Source organism: Homo sapiens, chromosome 9, assembly GCF_000001405.40.
Source record: "Homo sapiens chromosome 9, GRCh38.p14 Primary Assembly".
Lineage (NCBI taxonomy): Eukaryota > Metazoa > Chordata > Mammalia > Primates > Hominidae > Homo > Homo sapiens.
In genome coordinates this window covers 76,754,589-76,763,467 of record NC_000009.12, presented here as the reverse complement: position 1 = coordinate 76,763,467, position 8,879 = coordinate 76,754,589, and the positions used below count along the sequence as shown (strand labels likewise).

Below are 8,879 nucleotides of genomic sequence, written 5' to 3'. Positions count from 1 at the left end.
TAGAGAGTAGTTGCGTCTAATTCAGACTTGGGGTGAGCACTCCCAGAAGCACGCCTATGCTTGTTATGGCTCACTTAGATGACTACACTTACTGCAAAGCCTATTAATACTTAAGCCACATAGTATACCAGGTACTGTACTAAGTCCTTTAAGGTAACTTATTTAAACCTCACGTAACTCTGTGACACCAGTAGTCCTGCTATGATCCCATTTTATGGATGTGGCAACTGAAATTAAGTAACTTGCTCAAGATCTCATGACCAGTAATTGACTTGACTTCCAGTGCAGGCAGCACCTGGGCTTTTTGTCATGATGCTATAATGCTGCCCCGACCAGAAGAAGACCTCAGTCTTCACATCGTTTGACACAGGACTTGAGGAAAAGTACACATTGCCAGATGGAGCTAGAAGGGGAGATGGTGCACGAGGTGGGAGGAGTGCAGGTTTGCGGTAGAGGATGTGTCTCAGAAATGGCAACCATTCAATGAGGTTGGAGCCAAAGACACAGTGGGGAGTGAAGGAAGCTATTTTGTCTGTTTTAAAAAAATTGTAAATCAGAAACCAAATATCCAGTTTGCTGGTTTCTTTTGAGGATTGCTCTGCCTGGGATTTATCTTGAGTCCAACTAAAAACGTTTTACCTGGTTTGTTTGGATTAAGATTGCCAAGTTGTGGAGCCACTGAGGCTCCTTACGTGTCCACAGCCATGCTCATGGCGAAGGGCCTGACTCTGGAGCTCAATCTCATGTGGTCGTGTATGTAGGGACCTCCGCCTCCATACAAGAGCTAGGACTGGAGGAGCCACAGACAGTCATTCTACACTGCCTGCATTTTGAACATGTAAAAAGAAACGTGGAGAGTTTGGAGAGTTTGAAAAGGATGGTCCAGGGGGCTGGGGGTAAAATTACTGCAAGAGTATCTCACCACCTCTCTCAGAGTTTGTTAAGAAATGAACATGTGTGGAATCTATAGTAAAAAGTGGTATTAAGCATTTTAAAGATGGGCCTCTTCCAGAAAGTTCGAGCCAAGCAGACCGCCATCTGGATTATTCCCATGGTAGTTGCTCTCTCTGCGCACATTTCTGCAACCGCCATTCCTGCCTCCCTTATTAATAGGTTATCCGGAAATGACTTTGGATCACTGCTTCCTATGTTAACACACTTTTTGATGAAATAACAGAGAGTATTGTCATTAAAGATTTGGAAAAAAGTTAAATCTTTACAGGAGTCAAATGCAGCACATTTAATGGTTGTTGTAGAACTCAGGGCAAAGAAATCACTTTTTCCAACAACAGAAGGAAACTGTTGGTGACTTCCAAACTGGCTAAAGGTCCTTGTTCTAACCATTCTTTTTGTTTAAAATTGCTAACCTTAAAAATGATTTCAGAGTTGGCACCAGATGCATTGGAGGCTGCTAAAGTACACTTAGGAAAGACTTTAAAGCCATTAAAGTTATATGACAGTATTTTGAAGTTGTCTTTTAAATATGACGGACCCAGTTGTTTGACCATACATGATACATAATATGATATAGCTCCAGAGTGGCATTATTTGGAACAGAGTTTATGAATCATTTAAAAATTGTACCTATAACCAATGCAAAAGCTATAATTCATGTAAAGCTATAAATAATCTATCTCAAAATCTACATAAGATAGATTGACAGAGTGCTATTTGGAGTTTATGGGTCTTTTGATAAACTTTGATTAATATTCTCAAGTCAATCATTGTTGAATGAAGTATTTTAAAATTATTTGGTGAAAATTATGTATGTTTTCCAGTGTTTTCTAAAGACTTTCACTTTCTAATGGAAATTCAGAGCCACCTAGTGACCAAAAGTAAAATGTCTAAAGTATAAAACATGACAACAAAAACTCCCAGCAAAAGAGAAAAGCAATCATTTGACCCCGGGCTTTGATGTCCAGAGATAAAATTGTATCCAGTTCAGGTCTACAAAAGTAGAATTCTTACAAATTAAATTGACTAAGTCTTTTGTTATTTGGGGATTAAAGGCCCCTAAACATAGACTTGAGGTATATAGATGATTAATTTTTGTCGACACCATTTTATCAAATGAGAATTGTCTGACTTACACAAATATAGGTGACTGTTCCTCACAGATGCATCACCCCTTCCTTGATGGTGTGTTCCACTTCTGACCAGTTTGTGTATTATGACTCAAGAAAAAAAAAGATGGGGCAGCAATCTCACAGAAGACAGGACCAATGGTGGAGGAGGAAGAAAGGCATGAGGTAGATTTAAACTCCCCAAATGAGGCTTCTAATTCAGATTCATTTTTCAGCATAAAGATTCAGGCAATTCTATTAAATTTGGTTGGATTAAATTCAGCAAACCTCTGTTGAGTATTTTTTTTTTTTTTTTTTTGAGACAGAGTCTCAGTCTGTCACCCAGGCCGGAGTGCAGTGGTGTGATCTCGGCTCACCGCAACCTCTGCCTCCTGGGTTCAAGCAATTCTCGTGCCTCAGCCTCCCAAGTAGCTGGGACTACAGGCATGGGCCACCGCACCCGGCTAATTTTTGTATTTTTAATAGAGATGGAGTTTCGCAGTGTTGGCCAGGCTGGTCTCGAACTTCTGGCCTCAAGTGATCCACCCACCTCCACCTCCCAAAGTGCTGGGATTACAGGTCACCGCGCCCGGCCCGAGTCTGGACATGTACAGGTTTCTTGCTAGGCATGAATGCAGTAAATCTAAGATGCATGTAGAGAGCCAGGGTTTTCGGCTTGGTTGAAGTAGAGTGAGTCTAGAAGGACACATAGAAGATGAGGGTGGAGAGGTAGGACGTGGCTGTGATGTGGAATACTGTGATACCTGTTCCTTTTGGGGGGCTTTTGGCTAAAATCATGGTCATAGTTAGGATGATTAATCTGGATGCAGCATGTAGTGTGGACTAATGCAGGGTAAACAGATGTCAGGAAGAGCAGTGAGGTTATTCTAATGGTTTTGGATACAAGTCATAAGCATGTGACCTGGAATTATTAAAGTAAGAAGGGAAAAAGTAGATTAGAGAAAAAGAGAAGAATCTTTGGTACTGATATGGGGGAGCAGTGATATCAAGGGTGACTCCAAAATATCTGCCCTAGGTGATGAGGAAAAGAAAATGATAGAAATAATATCCTATAGCATCAGTAATGGACAAAAGGGTACCAGGGAAGTAGCTGGTGTGTGATGGAGAAAATGTGAGTATGGTTTTGATATCCATCCATTCATTCAGAAACATATACGGAGTGCCTGCTGTGTGCCGGGTGCTCAGGTTGCAGTACCATCAACAGACCCCAACTGCCAGGTACCCAGGGAAGAGGAAGGCAGCCCTGTTTCTACACCAAGGAGCCAGATTAGAGCCAATGGACAAGCTCTTTGCCAAGTGCACCAGCTTTTTAAACTAATTTATTTAAATTGTAGGGGATAACTATTATTATGTTAGTGTACAAAGGAAGTGAAACTGGAGAATTCCCTGACTGCCCTCGCAGGACGTGTGACAGGGGTGTGGCTCATCTGTTTGGCAGCTGTGTGCTCAAACCCCTTATGGGAGGAGGAGCACGCAGATGGGCAGGTGCAGGAGCCAGGGCGAGTGCTTCTGGGCTCCGGCCCCGTGGTAGCATCTAGGGCTGGGTGCCTGTGACTCCCAAAGCCCCAGTGGGCATGCTACAGTGCTCTTTTAACTCTGCAGTCCACAGATGGCTTAAGTGTTAACCAGCTCAGTGCCCTCTTGGTACCTGGGTTCTTGTCCAGCATCCAGGAAGAATCAGGCCACATGGATAAATTGAAAGATGGTAAATGTGGGGGATTTTATTGCCAGACGAAGATGGCTTTCAGCAGGATGGATGGGGAGCTGGAAAGGGAATGGAGTGGGAAGATGATCTTCCCCTGGAGTTCAGCCACTCTCCTCTCCAAATGACCCCAGCCAAAGTCCTCTCGATGTTCAGACACTCCTTTTCTTCTCTCCTTCTCTGCCACGCTGCTCTTCTGCTGTCCCTCTGCTCTTCTGCTCATCTGCTCATGGAGCCTGGGGTTTGGGGTCTGTGTGGGCACAGGATAGCAGGGCGTGGTGGGCCAAAAGGCAACATTTGGGTGTGAAAACAGGAATGCTTATTCCCATTTAGGGATACGGGTTTCCAGGATTGAGGGTGGGGTAAGGGAACTGCCCTCTTCTACCCAGTATCTCCCTGCTTCCTGTTTGTATCAGAGGTAAGTATGAGTTCACAGTCACACAAAAACTCTGTGACAGAGGCAGGCATCAAATGCACTATTTCCATTACACCTCAAATGGTGGTCTCCAGGGAGGGAGACCCAGACGGGGAGGTGAGCAGGCAAGGCTTCTGTGGCTGAACACTCTACCTCGAGGGGACTGTAACTCAGTCAGCTCAGTGGCCACCAGCTAAAAGGGGCTTGTTTCTTCCAGTATGAAGTCTGCTTCTCCAGCAAACACCTGCTTTGCACTGGAGCAGAGCAGACCTTAGGTTCTTGTCCCTATTTGCCACCTTCTGATCTGCTCCTGTCTGAACCCCCTGAGCCCCTCCTAGACTACGTTGCCTGGACCAGTTCCCCTGGTCAAGGGTGATCATGGAATAGAAAAGGATCAGAAGCTTTGACTTTAAATTCACAGCCATTTGCTACCCGTAATTTTTTTTTTCCTGGACCCATCACAAAAATTTCCTGTGGTTTCAGCCTTCTTATCCACCTATCCAGATTGTGTTGAGGGTTAAATGTGATAATGTAGAGAGAAATGCTTGTATGGATTGTAAAGTTCTGTGGGGTAGAAAATGCCTGCATCCTTTCCAAACACCGTGATTCATCTGGGCATTGTGATGCTTGCCTGTAGTCCCAGCTACTCAGGAGGCTGAGGCGGGAGCAGCCCTTGAGGCTTGAGACTGCAGTGAGCTAGTATCACGGTGCTGCACTCCATCCTAACTGACAGTGAGACTCTGTCTAAAAAAAAAAAAAAAAAATTTTTTTAAAGATATAACAACCAGACACCCTGATTCAACAGAGCAATTATTTCCTATCATTGTTATTCCCACTTGATTCTTCTGCAACTCTCTGCAGCACTAAGCAAGGAAACCCCTCAGCACCTCCTGGACTGAAAATACTAGGAGTTATGCATGCAGATTCCTTTAAGAACCATACCACCCATGGCTGGACAGGAGGGTGACTTCAGCATTACTTCTTAGTTTCACCAAGTTTGCATTTATTTAAGTTCTACACAGTTGGTCCCAAAAGCCTCAGTGCAGTTTTATGCGTTAATACTGTCAGATATAGAAATACTATAAGCTTACAAAACGCTGCTTTTGGAAGTTTAGTTATTTTCATCTCTTTTACTCTATTAGTTTTATAAGTTTTGAATAATGTATTTTGAACTTTCTATTTTGTTATAGTCTCCTGATTGAAGATAGCAAAGGTTAACCAGAAGAAAAAATTATTATTTAAAAAATTTTTTAATTCACAGAACTAAATCAGTATAAAAGGAATGAAAACAAACTTTCAAATGATGTTTTATGTAAGTTTTTAGTATGCATGTTTCTGAAGTCATTAAAGCTTAAAACTGCACTAAGACTTTCGGGATCTATTCTAATCTCTCTTTTTTTGGGTGGGGCCCAGGGATCCTCCTGCCTCAGCTTCCTGAGTCACTGGAACTATAGATGCATGCCACCATGTACAGCTAATTTTTGTAGAGATGGGATTTCTCCATGTTACCCAGGCTGGTCTCGAGTGATTCCCTGCCTCTGCTTCCCAAAATGCTGGAGTTACAGGTATGAGCCACCATGCCTGGCCTGTTGTAATCTCTTGACCATTCCACAAGAAACAAAGCTTTGAGCTTCATTAATAAATTCTTCCTCACTTCAGTTATTATCGCAATTATTACCAGTTGAGCCCTTCACTCTGGCAGTGATTTATTGGCATTCTCTAATATTAGTCATCTCAAGCAGAAAAACTTAGAATGGTTTATAGATGCTTTAGTTTCTGAAATTTCAGTCTGAATCCTAGTTTAGGCCCTTTACTCATTTACATACGAGTAAAAAGCAGTTTTCAAAACTAACATGACTCAGAATGCAGCCAAGCAATCAAAAAAAGCTTCTCTTTGAGTTTGCCAGTTGACAGTATTTTTCTGGCAGTAGTTAGTACATCTAAATATTAACTAATTAATCTAGCTTGTAATATTCGCTGCTGGTTTCATTGAATGAGGTGGGAGTAGGTCAGATCTGCAGACCATTCACAATCTCCAAATGCAAATAAAGTAGCATTTGTTTGTAGGTGGAACCAAATGATTATAAATGAATGGTGAGCCATCTCCTGGGATTGGATATAAAGGTCCTGTAAATGCAGAATTGTATCAACAAACAGCTGTTGGGAAAATACTATTATGCTGTAATAGCTGCTATTAAAATCCATTAGCAGTCTTGATGGCCTGTTTGAATTTGATGCATCATTTGCTCTGAATAGCATTTCTTCCTAAAGTTTTGCAGTAGAATTTATGCAGATTGATAGCTGGTAACAGTGACATTCTGGGAGATTAATACTGATTAAACACTTTGCTTGCATTGGCTATTCCAGCCCCCCAAAAATGCTGCAAATACTGCAGTTTAAGTATCACGGGGGGGCAGGGCACGGGCAGGGTGGGTGGGGAACAGCATCAAGCATCAAGGCACCCCCCTGTCCCTGGTGATGGAGGCTTTCTCACACTTGGCGTGAAACATCCATTTTGCTTCCATGACAAAGGTTTGCAGACTTGAAGCAGGTCCTCTGTTTCCCACTTTTTAATAACCTGCCTTTTCCTCATCCTAGTACCTTTTCCAGACTCAGGGAATCCTCCTGGGAGGCCACAGTGCCTTCAGGACACAATCTGGCTGAAAATGTTAGATGTCTAATGAGATTTTGAAAAACACATGTGTTGGCAAAGAGAATGCAGCTGTTCTGATGGAGGAAGCATTCAAATGTTAGGATGGAAAGCCAGCGCCTGGTTCCTAGTTGCGACAGCCATGCAACTCTGGAAAGAATGGGGAAGCAGCGCCATCTGGCCAGTGAGCCATACAGGCAGCTCCCAGGGGTTTACCAATTCAAAGAGGAGAGCTGCCAGGGACTGGTTTAGGCCAGCTTCACAGTTCCTGGGTGCCGTAAGTGATCCAGGATATACAGAGACGTTTTCATGCAGATTAGAAGAGACGTTAGGGTAAGTCACTGATAAATGTGGAATACATTAAATCAAGAGTAATTTTTTATCTTAAAAAAGCAGTTCCTTTTGACATATGCACTTACATGACCTCTCATTAGTTGGGGGATTTTCAGATATTCATCAAAATGGCTCTGTGAAGAGCTGAGGTTTGTTAATTTTAAATATTTTTCATCTACTTTCACTTTCTTAGTAGCCAAAGCTGGTGGTTGGTAGGAGGTGAAAGGGAAGGACCACCAGGAAATTATTTGAAAGTTTCGCTCCTCAAAGTATGATCCCCTGGCCAGGCGCGGTGGCTCACGCCTATAGTCCCAGCACTTTGGGAGGCCGAGGCAGGTGGATCACTTAAGCTCAGGAGTTCAAGATCAGCCTGGACAACATGGCAAAACCTTGTCTCTACTAAAAATGCAAAAATTTACCGGGGCGTGGTGGCGTGCACCTGTGGTCTCAGCTACTTGGCGGGCTGAAGCGAGACAATCGTTTGAACTAGGGAAGTCGACCTGCAGTGAGCCGAGATTGCGTCACTGCACTCCAGCCTGGGGTGACAAAGTGAGACCCTGACTCAAAACAGAAACAAAAACAAAGTATGGTCAGCAGCAGATTGAGCGTTACCTGGAAGCTTGTGAGAAATCCAGATTCTCCCCGAGGTATCTGAATCAGAATCTGCATTTTAATAAGACCCCTTCTTGCCCCTTGAATGCCTTCCCTGACTCCTCAAGGCAGGCTTCTAGATTCCTGCCCTCTCCTCCCAGCGTTCTTTGTCCACACCCCCACTAGACAGTGTAGCTTCTTGAATGCTTAGCCACAAATTCTTTAGGGCAGGAAGCTGAGTATTTTTTTTTATATCCCCAGAGTGGCACATGGTGTTCACTTAACCACCCATCCAGCCATCCATTCCTCCCTCCCTCATTCTCTCTCTCCATCGGTTTATCTTTTTTTCATTCGTTTACTCATTTGTTTATTTCTTCACTCATTCAGTAAGTATCCATCTACCGTGAATGAGCCAGTGCTTTAGGTATCAAAGATATGGTGTGAACGTGATAAAGTCCCTGTTGCTGTGCTGGGGGCAGGGGAGACGAATAGCAAACACATAAACAATTAAATATACAGTGTGATTTCATGTTTTGAGAAAGCACCTTAAAGAAAAATAAATCAGGGTTTGGGAATACAGAAGTCCTCCAATAAGTATCTGTTTAATCGTCGAATGAATAAAAAAGATAAATTAGTAATGATATTAAAAAGAGCGATAAGGAACCATAAAAAGTTTTTTTTGTTTTTGCTTTTGTTTTTTTGGGTTTTTTTTTTTTTTTTTTTTTTTTGAGACCGAGTCTCACTCTGTCACCAGGCTGGAGTGCAGTGCCACAATCTCGGCTCACTGCAACCTCCGCCTCCCGGGTTCAAGCGATTCTCCTGCCTCAGCCTCCCAAGTAGCTGGGACTACAGCAGTGTGCCAACATGCCCAGCTAATTTTTGTATTTTTTAGTAGAGACAGGGTTTCACCATATTGGCCAGGATGGTCTCCATCTCTTGATCTCGTGATCTACCCGCCTTGGCCTCCCAAAGTGCTGGGTTTACAGACGTGAGCCACCATGCCTGGCCGGAAGGATATAAAGTTTTAATGAAATTTTAAGAGCTAAGGTGATGGACTTAGGAAACGTCCTACCTAACTGGTCAAATGCAAAGCAAGTGTACAAA

General features: G+C 43.1%; 1 protein-coding gene across 34 annotated transcripts in view, besides 2 other annotated features; it reads left to right on the top strand.

The window, feature by feature from the left end:
• PRUNE2 (prune homolog 2 with BCH domain) overlaps window positions 1–8,879 on the top strand; it is a 294,739-nt gene that overhangs the window by 142,647 nt on the left and 143,213 nt on the right. The gene's annotated exons all lie outside the window — the stretch shown is intronic.
• Window positions 7,120–7,189: an enhancer, noted in NCBI's record as "active region_28482". NCBI's record gives its function as "activates an Ori minimal core promoter by ATAC-STARR-seq in GM12878 lymphoblastoid cells {active_cell/tissue: GM12878}" and the evidence as "EXISTENCE:reporter gene assay evidence [ECO:0000049][PMID:35858748]".
• Window positions 7,800–7,849: an enhancer, noted in NCBI's record as "active region_28481". NCBI's record gives its function as "activates an Ori minimal core promoter by ATAC-STARR-seq in GM12878 lymphoblastoid cells {active_cell/tissue: GM12878}" and the evidence as "EXISTENCE:reporter gene assay evidence [ECO:0000049][PMID:35858748]".